This window comes from Homo sapiens, chromosome 12 (assembly GCF_000001405.40).
Source record: "Homo sapiens chromosome 12, GRCh38.p14 Primary Assembly".
In the NCBI taxonomy this organism is placed as follows: domain Eukaryota; kingdom Metazoa; phylum Chordata; class Mammalia; order Primates; family Hominidae; genus Homo; species Homo sapiens.
The window spans coordinates 80,328,214-80,353,153 of record NC_000012.12 but is presented as its reverse complement, the minus strand read 5'-3'; the positions used below and the strand labels follow the sequence as shown (position 1 = coordinate 80,353,153).

General features: G+C 35.2%; 1 protein-coding gene and 1 pseudogene across 7 annotated transcripts in view; one reads left to right on the top strand and one right to left on the bottom strand.

Moving 5' to 3' along the window:
• Window positions 1-24,940, bottom strand: part of OTOGL (otogelin like) — a 281,344-nt gene that overhangs the window by 27,727 nt on the left and 228,677 nt on the right. For all 7 annotated transcript variants that reach the window (NM_001368062.3, NM_001378610.3, NM_001378609.3 and 4 more), the window contains 10 exons: window positions 24,410-24,489; window positions 24,035-24,103; window positions 20,076-20,149; window positions 17,014-17,191; window positions 16,599-16,741; window positions 16,334-16,357; window positions 16,150-16,242; window positions 13,890-14,079; window positions 10,992-11,206; window positions 718-859 (listed from right to left, as the gene is read on the bottom strand). In NM_001368062.3, the coding sequence (NP_001354991.2) occupies window positions 718-859; window positions 10,992-11,206; window positions 13,890-14,079; window positions 16,150-16,242; window positions 16,334-16,357; window positions 16,599-16,741; window positions 17,014-17,191; window positions 20,076-20,149; window positions 24,035-24,103; window positions 24,410-24,489 (1,208 nt within the window). The remainder of the gene's footprint in view (window positions 1-717; window positions 860-10,991; window positions 11,207-13,889; window positions 14,080-16,149; window positions 16,243-16,333; window positions 16,358-16,598; window positions 16,742-17,013; window positions 17,192-20,075; window positions 20,150-24,034; window positions 24,104-24,409; window positions 24,490-24,940) is intronic.
• On the top strand, window positions 9,362-9,639 carry RN7SKP261 (RN7SK pseudogene 261; annotated as a pseudogene).

Here is a 24,940-nt window from a genome sequence, read left to right as displayed (position 1 = left end):
TGTGTTTGTTTTTTGCATTTTTTGTAATTTTTAAACATTTTCTAAGGGTCTGCTAGGATTAGCTGTTATGGTAGGAAACGCTTATCAGATGTATAACAAATAAATATCACCAACAGGCAGCCCAAGTCTGGTTGGCATAAATATACAATCAACTATTATGATAACAGTCTACTCAGAATTATAACCAAAATACACTTTCAGTATATAACTCAACCAAATCATAAAAAAGAAAAATGTTGTATATTTAGGTTTGATCCTTCACTGTCAAAAGAAATTACTATTGGTGAGCAGTTTATAAATGATGTTTTAGAAAATCCTTGTGGATTGTCAATGAATGTAAAAAGTCATACTATTAAAAATTAAATGCTCAGATGGTGGGGTTATAAATGGTATAATCTCAGTGGAGAACAATTTGACAGTGTCTAGTGAAATTGGAGATGACACACATTCCCGATGAATCAGCAATGCCCCTCTTGAATAGTGATTACCTCTCAGGGAAAAGAGAAAGGGAAGGGCTGGAGAAGGCACAAAGGGAGCTTCATGTGTGACTGTTTTATTTCTGAAATCAAGTGATGTAACTTGTGTTTGTCATAGCTTCTTCTGTGCATTTTATGCTTACTAAATTAGTTCATGATAAAAAAGAAAAAGAAGGAAAGAAGTGATTGCAAAAGTGAAATTTATTTATGATGGAAAAATATTCAGTTAACAGTTACTCACAGCAGTAATCAGGTGTTCTCCACTGAATACAGATATCAAACTTGTTGCACAGAGCCACATATGCAGAAAGTGCATCACATTCATAGTTCCAAAAATAGGTATAATTGATCCACATCTTTTCACAAAAGTCTTCCGGTGAAACCTAGAGAAACATTTTGCCTTGAAATAAGTTATATTGTTTTATTTCTCTGAAAGCCCTAAGCTAGACTAAGATTATTTGGAGAATCAAAGGGTAGCAAGTTAATATTCATTATACTTCATCATAGACTTTACATTTTCAAAAATTCTTAATATTAAACATCACTCTAAACACACTTAAATAAGACAAATACCATCTGCACTAATCTACACAAATCTTTCTTATAAAGATGGAAAAGAAAACAGAGTATGTGGAGCCAAGCAAAAATTTATTTCTAATATCCACTGTGGGCTACAATTGCCTTTTCCATATACTGAATAAGAGTTTGAAAAATTATAGATTAAATTGGAAGCTCACAAAGCATTCTCTAATGGTATACAGCATTGCTTATTAAGTAAAGTTACAAATGCTTCTCAAAACTTTTATTAATATTCAATATTAGTTACATAATTTATAAACATTTGGCACACCTCAATTTAATTACTCATTTTTTTCCTATAGAATATGTTCCATTTTGATCTAGAGACACCTGAAATATAAATAATGCAGCATGTGACAATATTTATTCCATTTTTCTCTCAACTCATTATTCAACAGGCTCATACTAAGTATCTAAATTCAGATGCCAAATTCTGACACAGGCCAAAGTATCCGATAAAAATAGTATTTTTTCATAGTCCATCTATTTTTCTTCAGGGTCTGTATCTATAAAAACCAATGGCTTGGGAGGCTGAGGCAGGTGGATCACGAGGTCAAGAGATTGACACCATCCTGGCCAACATGGTGAAACTCCGTCTCTACTAAAAATACAAAAATTAGCCAGGTGTGGTGGCGCGTGCCTGTAATCCCAGCTACTCCAGAGGCTGAGGCAGGAGAATCTCTTGAACCCGGGAGGCAGAGCTTGCAGTGAGCCGAGATCGCACCACTGTGCTCCAGCCTGGCAACAGAGTGAGACTGTATCTCAAACACAAACAAACAAAACAACAACAACAAAAAAAAAAAAAAAACACAATGGCAAGAAAACAGACATTTAGGCCTATGGGACACAGAACAGAGACCCAGAAATAAATCCACACATTTACAGCCAGCCAACTGATTTTTGACAAAGGTGCCAAGAGTACACAATGGGGAAAGAAAAGTATCTCCAATAAATAGTGCTGAGAAAACTGAATATCCACTAGCAGTTGAATGACATTAGATCCTTAATTCACATCATATACAAAAAATCAACTCAAAAGAGACTATAAGACTTAACTGTAGGACCTGAAACTACAAAACCACTAGACAAAAACAGAGGAAAAGCTCTAGGACACTGGTTTGAGCAGTAATTTTCTGCCTATGAACCCCAAAGTACAGAAAACAAAAGAAAAAATCGACACATGGGATTGCATCAAAATAAAAGTTTCTGCACAGCAAAGTAAACAATCAATGTAGTAAAGAGACGACCTATAGAATGCGAGAAAATATTTGCAAACTATACATCTAATAATGGGTTAATATCCAAAATACATAAGGAATTCAAACAACTCAATAACAAGGAAACAAATAACCCAATTTAAAAATGGTCAAAGGAACTGAATAGATACTTCTCAAAAAAAGATGTGCAAATGTCCAACAAGTACATGAGAAATGTTTATTATCATTAATCATCAGAAAAGTACAAATTAAAACCACAATGTGATATTTCCTCCCACTCGTTAGAATGGGTATTATCAAAAAGACAGAAAATAACGATCATTGGCGAGGATGTAGGGAAAAGATAACCCTTGCACACTGTTGGTGGAATGTAAATTAGTACAGCCATTGTGGAAAACAATATGGAGGTTTCTCAAAAAATTAAAGATTGTAATATTATATAACTGAGCTACCCTACTACTACGTACATATCCAAAGGAAATGAAATCAGTATGTCACAGAGATGTCTGCACATCCATGTTTACTGCAGCATTATTCACAATAGCCAAAATATAGAATCAACCTACAGGTCTGCCAATGAATGAATGAAGAAAGAAAATTTGGTAAATATACACAATGGAATATTATTTATACTTTAAAAAGAATGAAATCCTGTAATTTGTGACAACATGAATGAACCCAGAGAACATGATGTTAAGTGAAATAAGCCAGGCACAGGAAAACAAATACTACATGATCTCACTCACATGTGAAAACTAAAAAAGTTGATCTTATAGAATTGAGCAAGGAATTATGGTTACCAGGGACTGAAGTGATGGGAAGATGTTGTTAAAGGGTACAGAATTTCAGTTTGATGGGCAGAAGTCCAAGAGATCTATTGTACAGCATGTTGACTATAATATTATATTATTGAAAAATGCTGAGAGTGGATGTAAAGTGTTATCATCACACAAGTGATAATCACATGAGGTAATGCATTTGTTGATTAGCTAGATTTCATCATTCCACAATGTATAGACACTTCAAAACACCACGTTGTACACAGTAAACACATACAATTTTATCTGTCAATATAAAAATAAAATTAAATATTTTTGAAGATGCAGAAAAAAACCCTAAGATTTGACTTTCTTTTCAATGTCTTTGGGAAATCCTCCCAGTTTCCAACCACCTTACTTTGCACAGAATACTTGCTTTAGTCATTAATAGCCTTCTTTTAATCAAATGCAATGAAATTGATATTCTAAACCCTCCGCGATCTCTCAGAAGCCTATATTGCCATTAGCACGTCCACTTGCTTAAAATGTTCTCTCCTTGAACTTCAAAGGTACCGCGCTCCATTGCCTTTCTATCTACTTGGTCATTGTTTCTTCTACCTGCCTCTCATTCTGTTTTACTAGATCCCATCCTCAATGGTCATGTTCTCTCACTGAAAATGCTCTCCCCAAGCTCATCCATTCCCATGGTTTCTATCACCATCTGGGGCATTTAAACCTTCTTTGTCTTGGTTTCTTCATATGTGAAATAGCGTTAATAGTAACAACTACTACTACTTAAGACTGCTGTGAAAATTAAATGAGCTAATATATGGAAAATGTACAGAAAAAAACCTGGCACATCATAAATTATCATTATTTTAAAAATCCATATACTAATAACTCTTCCAACCTGATCTCTGGCCTCAACTTATCTCCTCTGAGCTCCCGAATTACACTCCAGAGTTTCTGCTCGATGTTTTTACTCTGATGATGCACACGATTTAATCTGTCCAAAATAAAAAAAAAAGTATCCCTTCTCTACTTAGCCCACAAAAGCTGATTCTTCTGTATCCTCTACTTACTTATTAACTGATGAACACTTTTATCATTTATTGGGAACCTAACTACATATCAGGCACTGTACTATGCATAAGAATAAAGACAAATAAAACAGACCTGTTCTCTGCTTGTGGATCTCAACAACTACAAAAACAAAGCCTTTGAGTAAGATGAAGAGAAGCCACCATGCTAAAAAGGATTGAAAGAAAAAAGTATTCCAGCTGGGGAAACAGCAAGAAGAAGAGCATTTTGGCAGAAAAAACTCTTGGAATATTAAGAGAGCTTGTAATATTAAGGGAGGCAACAATGGTTGGAGCTTAGCAAACAAGAAGAGTGTAGCACAAGACGTGGCTGGAGAAATAGGTGGGCCAGATTATAGAGGACATTGACAGCCCTGGTAAGAACTTTGGAATGTACTCTAAGTGAAATACAGTGAAGGATTTTAGGTAGAGAAATCACACATTCTGTTTATAATTTTAAGATACTATTCTGCCTGCTTTGTAGAGATTTGCAAACAAGGATGAAGCTCAGTGGTAGAAGACTACAGTAACCAAAACAGCATGGTACTGGTACCAAAACAGACATATAGACCAATGGAACAGAACAGAGGACTCAGGAATAATGCCACACAATCACAACTATCTGATCTTTCACAAACCTGACAAAAACAAGCAATGGGGAAATGATTCCCTATTTAATAAATAGTGTTGGGAAAACTGGCTAGCCATATGCAGAAAACTGAAACTGGATCCCCTCCTTACACCTTATATAAAAATTAACTCAAGATAGATTAAAGAACTTAAATGTAAGACCTAAAACCATAAAAACCCTAGAGGAAAACCTAGGCAATATCATTCAGGACAGTCATGGGCAAAGACTTCATGACCAAAACACCAAAAACAATGGCAACAAAAGCCAAAGTTGACAAATGGGATCTAATTAAACTAAACAGCTTCTGCACAGCAAAAGAAACTATCGTCAGAGTGAACAGGCAACCTATAGAATGGGAGAAAATTTTTGCAATCTATCCATCTGACAAAGGGCTAATATCCAGACTCTACAAAGAACTTCAACAAATTTACAAGAAAAAAACAAACAACCCCATCAAAAAGTGGGTGAAGGATAGGAACAGACACTTCTCAAAAGAAGACATTTATGCGGCCAACAAACATATGAAAAAAAGGTTCAGCACCACTGGTCATTAGAGAAATGCAAAACAAAATCACAATGAGATACCATCTCACACCAGTTAGAATGGCAATCATTAAAAAGTCAGGAAACAGATGCTGGAGAGGATGTGGAGAAAGAGGAACATGTTTACACTGTCGGTGGGAGTGTAAATTAGTTCAATAATTATGGAAGACAGTGTGGCAATTCCTCAAGGATCTAGAACCAGAAATACCATTTGACCCAGCAATCCCATTACTGGGTATCTACCCAAAGGATTATAAATCATTCTACATATGTTTATTGCAGCACTGTTCATAATAGCAAAGACTTGGAACCAACCCAAATGCCCATCAATAATAGACTAGATAAAGAAAATGTGGCACATATACACCATGGAATACTATGCAGCCATAAAAAAGGATGAATTCATGTCTTTGCAGGGACATGGATGAAGCTGGAAACAATCATTCTCAGCAAACTAACACAGGAACGGAAAACCAAACACCGCATGTTCTCACTCATAAGTGGGAGTTAAACAATAAGAACACATGGACACAGGGAGGGGAACATCATACAACCCGTCGGGGGGTGGGGGACTAGGGGAGGGAGAGCATTAGGAGAAATACCCAATGTAGATGACGGGTTGATGGGTTGTTGGGTGCAGCAAACCACCGTGGCGCTTGTATACCTATATAACAAACCTGCACGTTCTGCACATGTGTCCCTGAATATAAATTATAATTTAAAAAAAAAAGATGTAAGTCAAGAGAAGCATCTATTAAACTGTCTGATGTTCTGTTAAAAAAATTCAAATTATAAAGCTTTGTCATTGGACCAGGCAAGAGATGATGGTTGTCTGGATTCAAATGGTGGTGGGAAGAAATGCATGGATATTGAATATATTTTGGAAGTGGAATCAACATGACTTAGTGATAGCTTGGATGGAACAGATTGAGTATCAACAAGCCATCAAGAATTTCTTTATCTCGATATGTTACCCTGTTTAAGCTAGAAAGTTGAAGTCATCTACAAATGCTCACCCTCCCTTAGCACTAACATCTAATTGGTCCTTAAATCCTACCCCTTCCACATCCCAAATGTCTCCCAAATGCCATCTTTCTTTTCTGAACGTGCTGCTGTCCTCACTTGCTTCCCACTGACCAGCAGAATCCATCATCATTTTCCCAAAGTAGATTTGCTTTAAAATAATTCAACAGGGGCGGGGTGTGGGCAGAAGGAGTGAAAAAGATAGGCAGAAAAAAAGAGGCAATTTTTAAATGGTTTTTTAATCTGGATGACGGACACTGAAAGGTTCTTATACTGTTCCCACCACTTTTGTGAATATGTAAACATTACCACAATAAAAGGTTAAAACAAGCAAATAAATAAAAACTACTCAGAGACCTTTTAATTAGCTACCTTACTATACCTGCCTAGCCTATCTTCTTCAGACCTTCATACAGATCTATTGAGCAAATTGTCATGACCCTCCCTTTTTTTTTAGTTCTTAACTTTCTTTTTTTTCTTGCAACAGGACTTTAATCAAAGTAACTTTTAGAAGCAGAAGGTAGAGAAAGGGAAACTTTATCTCAAGGTTGATTAGAGTTCAGCCCAAAGAAGTCACTATAAACTCAAAATTTCTTTGAAGTATTTTTTTGAGGTCATGCAAGTTTTACATTCTGGTGCTTAATAGTCTGTGTCTTTTAAATAAAAATAATGTCTTAAGACTTGAGGCTTTGAGAGAAAAAGAAATACACCCTGCCTATCTCATGGATTAATGGGCACTTTGGTATTGCATTCATTCCCTTAATATCCACGTAAGAAATCTGCAGTGAATTGAGGAGGTTCGATGCCAAATATCGAGTTCAGCATGATGGTAATACTGTGTCTTCTCTACCTCCGTTTTGCAATATCCAAGAACTATGTGGGTAAAAAGAAAATGCATTTTCCACTATTGTATGGACTGTGCCAGAGTTATCACTGAATCATCATGACCAGAATGCAGCTAAAGATGTTGTCTGAAGACACAGGCTACTGTGTATAGAATCCTCATAAGCTTTGTAAGGGTCTCTTTTAGTTTCTCAAGGAAACACATCTAGAGGCTTTGAGTACTTGAGAGTCTGAAAGTACTAGTAGGTCCTACAGTCAATTATCTCTATCTTATTCTCAAACTTTTTTATAGTATTTTTAATTCGTCACTCTTGAAAAAAATCTGCAAAATAAGCCAATTTTGTGAGTTCTTCTTGACCATTACTGTTAAAATAATCCATTTACATTATTTAGGTTTTACTTTTTATCTTTTCTTTCCATGATGAAAAATTATATTTTCAACTCTGACTGTAAAAATATTATAGCCATGGTCAGGTGTGATGGCTCACACCTGTAATCCCAACACTTTGGGAGGCCAAGGCAGGTGGATCACTTGAGGTCAGGAGTGTGAGACCAGCCTGGCCAACGTGGTGAAACTCCATCTCTATTAAAAATACAAAAAATTAGCCAGACCTGGTGGCACATGCCTGTAATCCCAGCTACTCAGGAGGCTGAGGCAGGAGAATCACTTGAATCTGAGAGGTGGAGGCTTCAGTGAGCCGAGATCATGCCACTGTACTGGATGACATCAGTGCCTGGATGACAGAGCAAGACTCTTCAAAAAAATATATATATATAATATATATATATTTTATACATAATATATAATATACATTATAAATATAAAATATATTATATATCATAATATATAATATAACATATAATATATATTATAATATATAACATAATAATATATATTATAATATATAAAATATAACATATAATAATATATATTATAATATATAAAATATAACATATAATAATATATGTTATAATATATAAAATATAATATATAATAATATATAAAATATAATATATAATATATAGCCAATGCCTTCTTTAAATTGATTTATATCTATGTAGCAGATAAAATGGCAAATTAACTTTCTTTTGTTGAAAGATATTCAAACTATAACACTTAAAAAAATTATAAAAATTTATCCCATCATTGAACAGCCTAAGAAAATATAAAAGCAAGATGTTCCTTGTGAAGAGAGTGATGGGTTTAATGAGGATCTTGATGGACAAGCCTGACTTTCCAAATGATTCTAAAACTAGTTCTGAAGAAACCTCTTGAGCCAAGATTACTTGTTATTTATAAAAATAAACAATAAAGCAAAATATTCTAGTAATTATCCTTAAATTCTGCATGATTGGTTTTTAGATGTTACCATAGGAATAGTTTTATGTGGTTGTTGATTTAGATTTTCCAGCATAAGACACAACATAATTTGATGCCCATTTACGTTTCTACAATAAACAAAACCCACACACTTTAAGTAAGCATTAAGGCTGGAGTGCAATGGCGCGATCTCGGCTCACTGCAGCCTCCACCTCCCAGGTTCAAGCAATTCTCCTGCCTCAGCCTCCCGAATAACTGGGATTACAGATGTGTGCCACCACACCCAGCTGATTTTTGTATACTGGAAGATTATAAGGGAAAAGTGGAAGCTATCACAGACTAAATGGTATCCTGTATTGCTTCATTATGCCTTGAATAGTCAAGCTGAAAGTTTCCTGATATAACCAACCTTTCAAGTTCCCAGTTAAAAACGCAATTTTAAAAAATCATGATGCTTTAAAAAGACAGACTAAAGTGGTACTGAATGAGTTTTAAAGTGTTTGCTATTTCTTCATGTTTATGTGCATGCATTTTAAAAATGTGAACATTTAAAACTTATTTTTATCCAAATCTCCATGTAAAACTGAAGTTCCACAAAGATATGTCATTTTTATCCCATGACTTCATACTTTCGTCTTTTCCCTCAGGGAACGCGTAGGGCAGCATCAAAAGTCATTCACAGTGAGCTCCTTCCTGACTTGACAATTCCCTTGCTTTCCTTCCCTGACTCTTCCCTTCATAGATGTTGCACCAAACTCTTTTAATGTTTTCCTCACATGGCCTTTAAACCAAACTTTCTCTTGCATATACAGTCAGCCCCCCTTACCCAGGGTTTCCGGTTTCCACATCCATAGATTCAACCAACCACGGATGAAAAATATTCAGAAAAACCGATGTGAGAGAGATCTCGCTGTGACATCTGTCATCCTACTGACGGCCAGGGTTGATTCGGCTGATCTGGCTCGCTAAGCAAGTGTCCCTTCCTCCCTCATTGCTCCATTTACGTCCCTCCTGAAGGTGTACATTTGGTTGAAAGGACGACTATCCACGACAGAGGACCGGCCTTTGGTCAAGGGTATACGAGTAGCAGCACTCCCCTGCTAGAACCTCCAAAGAAGCTCTCAAAAATATTCAGGAAAAGAAAGTTAAAAAAAAAAAAAAAAAAAAAAAAAAACAAGAATAAAAAATAATAAAAATGTAAAAAATAATAAAAATGTAAAAAATAATACAGTGTAAAAACTATTCATATAGCATTTACCTTGCATTAGGTATTATAAGTAATCTAGAGATGATTTAACATATATGGGAGAATTGTGTAGGTTATATGCAAATACTATACTATATTTTATAAAGGGACTTGGGCATCCAAGGATTTTGATATCTGTGAAGGTCCTGGAACTAACCTCCCACTGAGGGACCATTGCATTGTTATCTCTGCCTGGAACTCCATCCCTCCCTCTTCTCTCCTAGCAAACTCATACTTTTAAACAATTCAAAGATCTAAAACTCTGGGCCGGGCACGGTGGCTCACTCCTGTAATCCCAGCACTTTGGGAGGCTGAGGTGGGTGATCACGAGGTCAGGAGATCGAGACCATCCTGGCTAACACGGTGAAATCCCGCCTGTACTAAAAATATCAGCTGGGCGTGGTCGCCGGCACCTGCAGTCCCAGCTACTCGGGAGGCTGAGGCAGGAGAATCACTTGAACCTGGGAGGCAGAGGTTGCAGTGAGCCGAGATCGTGCCACTACACTCCAGCCTAGGCGACCAAGTGAGACTGTCTCAAAGAAAAGAAAAGAAAAGAAAAATCTAAAACTCCATAAAGTCTTCTCCAAACCTGGGATCCTGTGTACCTCTATAATGTACACTTTAATGTATCTGCTCGCAGACTTCCCTTCCTACTAGGCTCCTTGAGGGCAAGGAGAGCGCCCTATTCATTTTCTATCACAGGAATCTAACACAGTGATTTCTATGTACTAGATGCTCACTAAATTATAGTTAAGTGATCATGAAATACTGTATTTGTCATTTGTCTTTAATAATGGATTTTTTAAACAATATAGATTATTTAAAATGCCTACTAATCACTTAAACTCAGAAAGTTAGAGACTAATAAAGACCAAGTAAATTGAGTAAGTGACAGATTCTATTACAAGTATGTGCCTAAGAAGCCAGGATCATAAGGAATTGATTAAAGCCTCACTGTCTTGGTCTTAATACTGGGTTATCAAATGTCATTGATCTCTGTCTCCTGGAGACATTTATTCATAGGACAAACTTTCATTTTTTTTCTGAAAGCTGTAGATATAATTCTAACGAAGCATAAAGAAAAGAAATAAAATTATCCTTCTTGTGTTTGTAAGCCTGTAAACAATAAGTGATTCTGAATTCCAAAGCATACTGACAGAAGGTTGGGGGTTTTGTTCTCAGTAGAAGAACATTATAGCAAGAACAGTAACGTATTGGCTTTTACTCTCAACATATCTAACATGAAAGTATTATTTATGGTTGCTTCCAACTTACTTTATCATGACATGGAATGAAAATTCTTCTATTTAATAAATCAATGCACTGGCTGCAATCATGCTCAGTACAATTCCTAACAGGTCTTCTCATTGTTACTTCAAATGATTTCTCAATTTCCCAGCTCTCAATAAATAATCCTATGTCTTCCATATTTGTAATAATTGTGCCATTTTGCATCCTTAGATCATCATCCGGATCTTCATTGCAAATTCCTTGAAAGAATATATGACAGTTAGAAGAAAAAAACTTAAACTAATGTAGACAGCACAACTAAATCAGTTAAATAATTGATTTTAAATGAACAAATGATTTACCATATAAGGTACCAAGTTTATGTATCCTTGAACTTTTACATTGAAATAACTTTTTAAATTATGTTCTAATTTTTTGATAAAATAGTGTAGAACTAACTGCCTTAACCCAGTAAGAAAGAAATCAAAAGCCTAGAAGTCAAGATACATGAAGAGATCAGAGAAGATTAAGAAAGAAGACATTAATTCTGTTCCTATACTCTTCCATTACTACCACCATCTTCTAACTTAGTAACTAGTGGCCTGGCAAGGTACTTTCCACAGTAATGGACATTTGGTGACTGGCTCCCAGGCTTCCACTTCCCTGTGAAAACTCTGCCTGAAAATATTAAATATTTTTCTTTCAGGAACTATCACTACTCCATCACCTAGTGCATGACATCATTCCAGGTGAGGGCTCTGATTGGCATAAAGGTAATCTTCATTCCCTTGCATTAGCAACTGTTCCAGGTAATCCAGGCATAAACCAGCAAGCATGTAGCAGTCACCTAGGCACATGAATTTATTCAACATAGGGACAACTATTGTCAAGCTCAAGACTTGAACTGGGAATTCTAGGACACAGGCAATTTCCCTTCCTTGGGATGCCTTGACCTGCTGCAGCCTCTATTTACCTTGAGAAAAGCCAAACTGAGGATGAGCTTACTCTTCACCAAATGCAGTGCAGAGCCAAGGAAAGTAATGAGACCAGGCCTACAATCATACCTTACCCAAATCCCACCCGACTTTAAGACATATTTTTTCTTAATTCCCAAGACTCTGGGCTATAAAATATATGAATAAAAATTTTCTTCAAACATCAAATCTTAATTCCCAAGGAGATATATCAGGATGAATAAAGGTTGCAATGCCTCACCTTTGTAAATACACAGGGTACTACGTGCAATTAAACATTAAAAAAAAAAAAAAAAACCTAAGTGGACTACATTGTAAAGGAGCTACTATTTTTTAAGTCTAAACTTTTCTAGAGAAAGGTAATTTCTAGTAAAAATATGTTTGCACTGCAACTTCAGTCACCACTCCAGACTTCATAGTGCTGTGTAGAATAAGATGTCAATATAAGCCTCTCATTCCAGTGTTCAGACCCTGTTTGGATAACAGTCTTACTCACTAGAAGCTTTTCAGCCAGCACCTAGTCTAGTGATCCTGACAGTACCCAGATTTCCCTTTAATGAAGTATACTTCTCTCATTGTGGAGGTCAAGGAATTTAGGGCATGAGCCCTGGTTAGCATAAAGGTGATCCTAGCCCTCTCTCTGCAGCGCTTAGTTAAGAATCCAGCTAGCAGAGTGGCTGTCTACATGAAAGCAAGAGCTAATAGTAGAGAAGGATAAAAAACATAAAAATAAAACTGAAATAATACCCTTCAAAAGTGATAAGTTATAGGAGAAAATATGCATTTCCAGTCTCAGTTATTACTCAATAATAACTATTGATTTAGTACATATACTCAATAATGCCTATTTCCAAATCATAACCTTAAGTCACCATAGAAATTTATGCTATGTTTAGCATACTCTAAACAAGTGAGGAACCATGAAAACCATTTTAGCAAAAATTTCCAAAAATGTTCAAATTTTTAAACAGGAAATTTGGATATTTTGTGTAATTTATTGAGGGCAAGGACTTAGCCACTCATTTTTGAGTTGTCAGCCTCAAGCATAATGTCAGACACACAATAGGTGATCCATAAACTTTTATTTAATTAATATTTACTGAGATTAAAAATAGATATATTTGTACTAAACCAACATTTATTGACTGTGTGTATTTATGTGTTGTGTTTACATTAACTTTCACATGTAATCCAAACAATCTTGAAAATGGATATTACTGTCCACTTTTAAAGATGAGGAAACTGACATTCTCTTCAGAGCACACAACTGTAAAGAGAATAACCTGTGTTCAAATTTCTAGCAGACACCAGAGCCAGTATTCTTTTTATTTCATTATGTACCTACAGATATTTCTAATTTGTTTTCTTTGACTTAAAACTCTTCATATATCTGTGTAATACATTGCAATATTAAACCTAGATGTAATGGTATATCTAAGCTTTACATTTCATAATAAAACTAGGACAAATATCCTGAATGGTATGTTCTTTCAAGATGACTTAAACAAGTTTTCCCTGATTTCAAGCTTTTAAAAAAATTAAGAGGAAACAAAGATATGTAAGCCTTTAAACTTTCTATGCCTCATTTGTATCACTTATAAATTGAGATAACACTATTATCTACTTACTAGATCTTAAAATTAAGTGAATTAAAATGTGTAAAATAATGCCTGATGCTTCATTAATGCCTAATAAAGATGAGCTAGTGGAAATACAAACAGCATCGTAGTAACAGCAGTAAGCATATATTTTCATAAAATACCCAAATTGAAGTGTTATTTCCTGCTTCTTAGCACATTTATGGAAAAATCATTGCTTCCTTCCGTATTTACATGGGAACTGAAAGTTAATATCACATCTCAAATCTGAAAAATGGGGCAACAGGGTCCAAAATGGCATAGCGTGAATAGAAAAAAAAAAAAAAAAAAAAAAAAACAGACGAAATCAAGATTTGAAGGGCAGCGCTCACCACAGAGTCCTTCTGTGTAGGATGACAAGTTAAATCGGAAGCCAAAATGAATGTCTATGATTCCTGTAAGATGAGACCACTTTATGATTAGTCCAGCTGGAGTAGTAATTACATACATTGAACCAGAATCCTCTATGGACAGTTCCTGACTTGAAAAGGGCAAAGGCACAACAATGGAATCCACTTCTACCTAGAATAACATAAATACACCTGTTAAGAAATATTTACTTAAATATACAAATTAGGAGAATACAGATTATTCCTTTATTCTGATTTAATGTAAACTATTTTTTAATTTTTTTAAGAAATGTATTTCTTACTGCTGCCACAGCTTCTCAGAACCTTTAAGCTATTTTATTGTTCCTTTGCTGTGCCTTGCTCTAGTCAATATGTGTTCTAACGTCATTGCCTTTCATTTTCCTCAAAATTTAACTTTCTTCTATGTTATGTACACTTCTATGTCTGTTTCCTTCAATCTATGTTTATATTGATAACACAATCCTTCTAATATGAATTTAAGATAATAATGTTATTTTCTGGATGTTTTCCTTAATCTGGATTCTTTCCTTGATCTTCTAAATCATTGTTTGCTTAACTGCAATGTTCATAACAATCATCTGTCAGGCTTGTTAAAGATCAAGATTCCCAGTGATTCTACTTTGCAGGTTTGCATTGGATTATAGACTGTATTTTTAGCATGTACTAAATAAATATATACAGTCTATACAGGTATTTGGTAATACTAATGTAGGCAATCCAAGGATTGTACTTTGAAAAACGGTGCTTTAAATAATGGCAATGACATGAAGCCATGAGCTGTAACTAGCAGCAAATTTCTCGAAGTTATGCCTCACCAACCATTCAATGTCTCATTTTTATATCTTGTTCATAAATGCTGTCCTTGAGCTGAAACATACTTTCTCTTTCTCTTCCTTCTTTCTACTTATTCTTTAAGATTCATCTTAAGTGTGACCTCCCCCAGAAAAGACCTGTTTGATCCGACTACAAACTATAAGACATTAAGTTACTCTTCTCTTTATTTCTATGATATCTTGGTCATAATTCTATCACTGTTCCTCCTATTGCTTTCTAATCAGCAGGTAATTACATTATGCAAATCATGCACAAGTATAAGTTACTTGAGATCAGGACCTATGTTGTTTTATCATGTTAAACTCTCACTAAGTCATTTTACAAAATAACTTGTTATTAGCTGAATACAGTGCCTGACCAGTGAATGATCAGTGATGAGTTCATCTGGGGCCAAAAATAAGTCCTTCCACCCAAATGCTCCAAATAATGACACTGACCAGCTTTGTGTTTACTTCTCACCCACTTCCTGTAAGTATATCAACCTCATCGAACTCAAAGGTATATGCAAATGCTATCATTCAAAAAAAGTACCTCTTTTATATATTTTGTTTTACTTAATTAAACCTTTTAAATATCTTCTTACATTTTTAGGCTCATTTTAATATTCTTTTCAGTCTAGAATCTATGGACCTATGCTAACAAATGGAGTTATTTCCAGAAAGTACATAGTACTTCAGCCATTTTAAGAAAAAATCTTTACACATTTTTTTTTCATATTTTACAGAGAATAACTTAGAACTGAGTGAAGCACTGAGTTCATAAGGCACTCCTGTTTGGCAAACACATATTCCTTGGGATAAGAGTTTTTCCTGTAAAACCAAAAGGCTCCTTTCATTTTTTATAATGCATTGCTTTTTTATAATACATTGCGCTTCTTCAATTTATTTCAAAAAAGTTAAATATTTTTTCATATTTTTCTTATGTTAGCTATCATTTATTCACCAAAAACTTAATTATGTCAACACTTCAAACCCACTCCTTCTATCTGTTCTTCTCTTAACGGTCTTTATTCCGGTGTTCTTGGCTACTATGCTTTTCCACATCATCATCCCTCTCCTTCATAGCATTTCCACTCTGTCTGATTTGGAACGTGATATTAACTCTGACACAAAGAAGACTGGCCAATCACACTATCTCAGAGGTCGCTAGTGTATTTAACATGGTCCCTGCAGTTAACCTCACAGGGGAAAATATTTGCAATAATTGGCACATTATTGAGAGACAAATATAATATTAAGAAACACATTTTATATTGTCTATGAAATGATTACTATATATAACAATTAAATTCCATTGATATGCTTAATTTTCCCTCTTATTGGAAATAACTGTTTGTATAATTTATTTTCATCTAATGTGAGAAAAAATTTTAACTTTGTATTCTTACCTTTCTTGCCAACCGATTGACAATTATTTTATGTATGGGTGTTGTCACATTTAACTTCTTAAAACAAAGTCCAGAGATTCTTCCAGAGGGAGCCTTAATTTGAAAAAAATTAAAACTTTACGGAGTTAAACACAATTGTAGTGATAAACAGAATGAATGTACTAAACACTTTGCAAATACTCACTAGCTTTTTTAAGGAGTTTCCATTCTGGAAAAAAAAAAAGAAATACTTTTAAATGCATTATTTGACTTTTTAAAACATTATTCGGATTTATATGCCTCTAAATAGATTGATAAGAAAGGTTTTCAGAAATGTTTCTGAAACATTATCAGAAGACCGATCTCAGTGAGTTCTTGAGCTCCCTCCTCCTGTGAGAATCCCTGATGTTGCAATAGACATTAGCTATAGATTTATGATGAAATGACTGCAAAAATAAATTATGACCCACCTGATTCATGGAACATTTTTCGATATGAGCAACTATAATTTCACCAGGAATTCTTACTAAGATATAAGAAGCCATGCTATATAATGCTGCGTTGTTTCCATCAAATGTAATAATGCTCAGTTCTGACAACATGGAACACCGACCTATAAAAATGGTGGAAAGTGGATTTAGTCTATTAACTATCTGCATTTTCAGTAATAATTGCTCTTTTAAAAAAATCTGTTAAATTAGCCTTATTATGTCTGACAAGAAGCAACTCTAAAAGTTATATACTGTGAGCCAAAATCATAAATCAAATCATGAAAACTCAAAAACAGTAACTTTGGCTTGATGAGGTGAAAGGTTCAAAAAAGTAACAATCTCTCCAGATTAAAAAAAAAAAAAAAAGATCACCGCTTAAGAAATGCAAACTTACAAGGACATTCCCACTCAGGGCAGCAGATATCACTGTTCACTTGAACTGGCCTTCCTCGGAAACCACAGTCAGGCATTTCCACGTCCTTTGGGCAATTAAGGGACCAGTTGTATAACTGCCATTCCATATTAAGGCATATGTATTGGCTACAATCATAAACAGGATCAAATTTCTGAGGCTGTTAATAAAAAAAGATTAGTGGGTTTTTTCATTCTCAGCTAATGTTTTTAATTGATTTTTAAATTCCACATTCATATTGCCCATGGTGTACATTTATTGAATACAAAAACTTTTGAAAGATAAAGAATTAAAATTATGCTGCAACTTTTTATTGATGTACCCTTTCTATAATATTCAATGTATATTTAATTTAAGCTTTAACTTAATATTGATTGGACATTAGATTGCCCATATATTCAAACATCTGAAGAAAACAGTGTTCTCCTGAATTCCCTAGTTTTTTTGCAAGCAAATTTATAAAATGACAGCTGACCCTTCACATTATATTGTGCAAAGCTAGTATATCAATATAACTTCATGTGTCATAATGTCAACTTAAAAATCACAACTTAATGCTATTTAAATACTTTATTAAAATTTTATATATAACATCAGTTTCACAGCACCTAGAGTGTATAATCATAAATTAATTTTATATGTAACTCACAATGTCTAGGTAAACAAATAATAAATAAATAAGTGGTAGATTTTTCAAAATTTATAAATCACATTCCATTTAAATTATGGTAATAATTATAGCAATGCTAAACTAGACATTTTCTAATTAACCCATTTCATTCTCTTAACCCTCTAAGGTAGATACTATTATTTCATATTTATTTTATAGATAAGTAAACAGTGTGGGGGTTAAAGTAATTTGCCCAAGGTCCCACAGATAGAAGATAGTAGAGTCAGCATCTAAGTCCAGGCACTGTTACTCGGGAATCTATGCTCTTGACCACTACTCTCTACTGCATGTCTAGGGATTTCAGAATAAAAATTAACAACTATTTAGCACCTATTACATACCATACACTAATAAAGTATCTTTTTTCATTTGTTTCTCCCTAAATCTTTTGGATCAGTTTCTATCATTCCAATATAATATATGATTTTTAAAATAAGGTTTAGAGAAATTACTAATTTTCTAAATAGTAAGACTCTTAAGTGAGCACTTCAAAATTTAAGAGTCCAATTTTCCAAAATTTTCTGTGTAAAAGTTGTACCACTTCTCAGGTATTGACCTTGCTTTTCATTTAGCCAGAAAAATGAAAGCAATTACAAGAGAACTATAGACCTCACAGACATCTGAACCACCCAGAGGATTTTAGACCTACCACTCTACTGAAACTCTTTTTAACAAGGTCACCAGCAACTCACATTGCTAAATCCAGTGATCAATTCTCAGACCTCATCTCAGACCTATTAATATATTCAGTATAGCTTATTACTCCACATTCCTTATAATATTCTTTTCCTTAGATTTCAGATCACCTGCAGCCTCCTACATTTTCTCCTATTTCTCTGGTTAACATTATTTGCATGTCTGTCATCTTCTCTCAACCTATGAAAGTTGTAGTGGCCCTTTTCACTTCTCTATCTGTACTCACTCCCTTTACTATCTCACCCAGTCTCATACCATTTATCCGCTGAGAATTCCCAAATTTTTTCTTAGCATGACCTATATATACTCCATGTATGTCTGCCAAATCTATATGTCCACAGCTTTTTGCTGTCTGTGAGGAATCTCAAGCTTCACATGGCAAAACTGAACTCATGATTATACCCATCCCAGACATGCACTCCCCAAGATTTCTCCATCCTGGTTGACACCAGCCCTTTAGTTGCTGAAGGCAAAAGTTTTAGAATCTTTGTTGCTTCCCTTTTACTCACACTTCACATGTAATCTTTCTACCTTCAAAATATATCCAGGATCCAGGTACTTTTCACCATCTTCACTGCTATCACCTGAACCAGGTGATAGATCATCATCTCTGGCCTAAATTCCTACAATAGCCTCCTAAACAGTTCTATTCCCTCCTTACACCTTACCCACAATATACCAGCCAAAATGATCTTGAAGCTACTCAGATGGTGTAATTCCTTGACTCAAAAATACACAGCACCTTCCCAAGTCATTTAGAACAGAAGCCACAGTCTTTACAACACAAGGTCTAACATAATCTACTTTATTGTCTACTATTTTATTCCTTTATTACTTACAGGTCTCCTTGTCATTCTTTTAATACATTAGGTACATTCTTGCCTCAAGGCCTTTGCACTTGCTGGTCCCTCTGCCTGGAACTTTGTTGACCCAGTCCTCTACATTGGTTCACTCTCTTAACATTTGCAGATCATTTGCTTAGAGGTTGCCTTATCAGTGAAGATTTTCAAATCATCTTATTAAAAACAGTATTATTTTTCTCCTGACCAGCACCTCTGACATTTTATATAACTTCATTTATTTTGCTTATTGGCTATCTCAGAAACTCCAATAGAACGTAAACTCTGGAAAGGCAGAAATATTTGCCTACTTTTATATTTTTTCCATAGGATCTGAATAGTGCCTGGCCAGAAATGGTGCTAAATAAATATTGGTTGAATAAATAGTTTATCAGAGCAAATGGTATATTTGATATAAGAAGATCTCTGCCCAACTCTTAGGAGAGAAAACTACTAGTTCTAGGAGACAATGACTTTTATCTTTTTTGCTTCCAGTGTATGTTTAACATCTTACACAGTGGCTGACATCAAGTAGATGCTTAATAATATTTTATGAATGCCTGATTCACAGATAAATCCATACTAGATAACTCTTTATTAAGGAATCACACTTAAGATCTTATTTCAATTTTGTTTTTCTTAGTGTGACTAGAAGCTAATTAATAAGAAATATCAGTTACAATTGTTCCAATGAAATGCATATTTCTTAATATCTTTTAGCAAGGCTAGACTAGAGAACATATCAAAAAAAGTTTAGTAGCATTTGGATATTGACACAGAAATTTGAATGGATGATATATGGAAATGACAAAGAGCTGGAAGATATTGCTCAGTCATACCTCACATTCCAAGCCTGTAGTTGGTGTTAGCATATCAAACACAGTGATGTCTGATGGAGTAATCATTTCCCAAACTGTCAGAAATGAAAAAGTAATCCTCATTAGTGGAATGCATTTATCTTGCATGGAATTGATATGTGACAGAAACTGTGCTAAGAAATTTTGTATAGATTATTTCACATATTCCTTCCTAGAATCCTGTGATGTTGGTAATAATAGTATCGACATTTTACAGAAGATGAGGAAACTAAGCTGTAGAGAAGTAAGGCTGTTAAGTGGCAGAGGCAGAATTTGAACTTGGAAATGAATTCTGATTCCAGAAATTTGGCTTTTAATCACCATTCTTTAAACACCTTCACTTTCTTAATGGTGTCAACACAATTGCGTGAACAGGTAAAAAAAATATTAATAGTATCACTAACCATTCCTCAGAAGTTAAAAATCTTCTTACATTTTGAAAATAAGTAATAAGGCTGACCCCTTGATTTTGGTGAACCTTGAGAATGTGTTCCTTGTGAGCAGAATAAATGTTGATGTGGACCATGTGGAAGCCCTAGTTGATGGGTGTGGTTTAGGAGTGACCCATAGAAAAGGGAGATGTGATTGGTAAACACATCTGTGAGGCACCTTCTAAAGGTGTCAATATTGGAGGTATCTCTAAAATATTCAGTCTGAAAGATTACAGAAGAGCCACAATAAATGGCTGAAATTATTCTCAGCCATAATCGCAGTGCCCGTAGTTGACAGTGTTTAAAAATAACCTCATTAGTTTCCTATTGCTGCTGTAATGAATTACCACAAATTTAGTGGCTTAAAACAACACCAGTGTATTAGCTGTTTTGGAGCTCAATGTAGCCATTTCACAATGTACACATATTTCAAAACAACATGTATACAATAAATATATACAATTTTTCTTTGTCAATTTTCAAAATTAATTAATTAATTTTTAAACAAAAGAAGCCCTAAAATCAAGCTATTAGTAGGACTGCATTCCTTCTGGAGGCTCTAAGGGAGACTCTGTTTCCTGGTCTCTTCCAGCTTCTATGAACTATCTGGACTTGGCTCATGGTCCCTTCCTTTAACTTCGGAACCACAGCACGAAATCTTCAAATCAATCTCTCTCTCTTCCCCTTCTTCCTTCCCTTCCTTTTCCCTTCTTTCCTCTGATTCTATTGTCACATCACCTTCCCTGACTCCAACTCTCTTGCCTCTCTCTTTTAAGGAAATTTGTGATTACATTGGTGCCACATGAATATTCCAGGATAATTTCCCCATCTCATGATCCAGGCATAAGCCAGTCATCATCTTAATTTAGTCACATGAATGGCCATATAAGGTCATATATTCATAAATTCTGGGGACTTAAGACAGTGACATCTTTGGAGGACCATTATTCAGCATACCACAACGACATTTTAAAAACTTTTAATATTTCTGGCCGGGCACGGTGGCTGTCATCTGTAATCCCAGCACTTTGGGAGGCCGAGGAGAGAAGATCATTTGAGGCCCGGAGTTCAAGACCAGCCTGGCCAACATGGCGAAACCCCGCCTCTACTAAAAATACAAAAATTAGCCGGGCATGTGGTGCATGCCTGTAGTTCCAGCTACTTGGGAGGATGAGGCAGGAGAGTTGCTTGAACTTGGGAGTTGGAGGTTGCAGTGAGCCAAGATCATGCCACTGCACTCCAGCCTGAGTGACAGAGCAAGACTCCACCTCAAAAAAAAAAAAAAAAAAAAAAAAATTCTAATGACTGGGAAGTTCAGTGGTCTTAACAGTTCACTGTTATCTAAAATCATCAAAGGCTTATAAACATTATCTGGGTGTGGATTTACAATGGCCAAACTGTCTTGATAACTACAGCTTTGTGATATGTCTTGAAACTGAGAAGTATGAGTACTCCAAATTAGTTATTTTTCAAGACTGTTTTGGCTATTCTAGGTTCCTTGTACTTCCATATGAATTTAGGGTTAACTTATCAATTTCTGCAAAGCAGTAGCTGGGATTTTGATAGGGATTGTATTGTGTCTATAAATACAATTTGGGAGTATTGCTATCTTAACAACTCTACCAATCCATGAATATGGAATTTCTTCAGCTTCTTAATTCTATCAACAATGTTTCATAGCTTTTATGGTACAAATTTTACACTTCTTTTGCTACATATATTCTAAGCATTTTATTCTTTTTTGATACTACTATAAATGCAATTGTTTTCTTTATTTCATTTTCAGATTGTTCATGGCTAGTATACAGAAATACAATCGATTTTTGTGTATTGCTCTTGCATTCTGCAACCTTGCTGAACTCATATGATATTGCTAATAGGTTTCAGTAGATCCCTTAGAATAACCTAAGATCATGACATCTGCAAATAGAAATAGAAATAGCTTTATTTTTTTATCTTTGAGAGTAATGAAATATAGTTTGTATTCTCTGCAAAGAGATTATGGTTGTTTAAATCATTTTACACATTTGAGATAATGTTGAATATTAATTTGGGGGATATAAGAGAACTCAAAGTAGAGAGCAATACTTAGAATAATTAACAGTCTATGCCCCAGATGTTAAAACATGCAATCTTATTTCATAGACTTATTCCCCTTATAAATTGAATGATGTAGGCGAAGTACCTCCACCTTCTCCCAAAGCATGCTTTAAACTATACTAAATTCACTGATGCCTAAAATTTCACAACAGTATAGTAATTCCTCATCTCTAGAAGGGTAAACCTCTCTCGTAGGGCTCTTATTAAGATTAAAAGTATGACAAATGCTTAATCCTATACCTGGCATATAATTAGTACTCAAATGGTAGCTAACCAGAGAAGCAGTCTTACTAGTGATGGTTTTAGTGAAGCTATTAATGCCTTTTTAAAAATCCTGTTTCTTACCATGAGTCCTTTGTGACCTGCCCCCGATAATCTCTTCCACTCCACCTTTCGGCACAATTCCCCTCAAACTGCACATTCAAGATACACTGACCTGCTTAAGATTCCTTCATGTGACATATTCTCTCTCACTTCCAGACTTTGCACATGCTGTCCTTCTAATAGGAACATATTTCCCTCTTCTCTTAGCCTACCCAACTTCTGTCTTCGATTAACCTCTGACACCACACCTCCAAAATAAATATGATGGTCCTAGTGTGGGCTGCTTGTATTTACCCCTGTTGTAAGATTGCAACAGCCTCTGGTCTATCAGCAGTTTTAGGGTAGGGGCTGTGACTTGTTTATCATATCTCCTCACTGAGGGCAAGGACAGTACCAGGTAGAGTTGGTGCTCAATTAAAGCTTGTCAAATAAATGGAAAGAATAAATATCTGAACTTGACCTACATTATACTACCTTGAGGAATAATGCCTTAAGTTTGTTGAGCCTCACTGTGAGTGGATTTATTAAATCCTTCCCTGAGGCAAGCTTCACAGGGCGGGAGGAAAGCAAGGGTAGGAGCCCAGAATGCCTCCTCCAGAGCCAGAGACAGAATGCAAACATGGAAATGGAAGCAATAAAGAAAACCCTGATTTATGTCTGTTTCATTAGAGCCAATTTAATCACTGTGAAAATCTAAGTGGGATTTAATCAAACCTAAAAGTAGAATTTAGGTTTTTAGATGTGAGGGAAGTCCAAGGAATCTACACGAACTGAAATGAAGAACGAGGTGGACCAAATGCAGAAGCCACTCAGAAAATGAGGCACGTAGCCCAGTGCAGTGTGGCTCATGCCTGTAATCTCAGCACTTGGGGGTCTCAGGCAGAAGAATCCTTTGAGGCCAGAAGTTCTAGAAAACATGGCATGTTGAGCCAATGGACAAGCTTAATGAAGCAAAAGTGACTGCTGGGTTTCCTAGCCCATAGGTAGTATTAATGATAGCAGCTATAGTAACACCTAAATTACATAAATTAAGCCAACACTTAAACTACATAGTGCTACTTTTGTTGTCTAAAATTATAACAATACCTGTAAACATGGGCACAGTTGGCTTAGCTGGTGGCATTAATGTTGGTTCTGTGGGAATCACAGGTATACCTACAAAGAAACAAAGGTGCTCTTTATAAAACTGTATTTGCATAAAATTAGACCCACATATTTCATAGAGGACTCTTTAGCTTCAAGGAAAATGTTTTGGGAAAAAGAATGCAGGAGAGATGTTAGTGGAAGATCTACATGATTTAAAAAGTAATTAGGGAAAAAAAGCTATGTAAGAGACATTGAAGAATAATCTTATGAGAGTTGATTGTCTGTTTAAAACTTCTGTTTACAACCACTTGCCTCGGAAAAAACATATGCAAGCGTATAATTTTTCAGAGTAAATTAAGCAACGTTCACACTTACAGTCTCGTGGATAAACACACTTGAGGGTGACCTCATCAAGGATCATATTTTTAGGGCAGTAGGGCAAGCATCCTTCAACCCTTTACATGGAAAAAAGAGTAAATCAAAGTGAAGAAAAGTTTGAAATACAAAAAAAAAAGGACTACATTTAACATATGCGACTAAGATATATTCTTCCTAAAATGCTTCTATATACCCTTGTCAAGCACTAACAACTGCTCCATCTGCTACTTCGTTTTATAAAATCACAAGCTAGAGGATGATAAGAGAATAGGATTAAAATTAAGGCAGAACTTGGACACAGAATATTAGAACCATACACTTATATTTGGGGCACACTAAGTCCCTGTTCCATAAGTCAGTGGAAATGTGGAAGAATAATTTATTAAGGTGTTGTTGTTGTTGTTGTTGTTGTTGTTGTTGTTTGTGACAGGGTCTCACTCTGTCACCCAGGCTGCAGTGTAGTGACGCGACCTTGGTTCACTGCAGCCTCATCCTCCTGGACCCAGGTGGTCTTCCCACCTCAGCCTC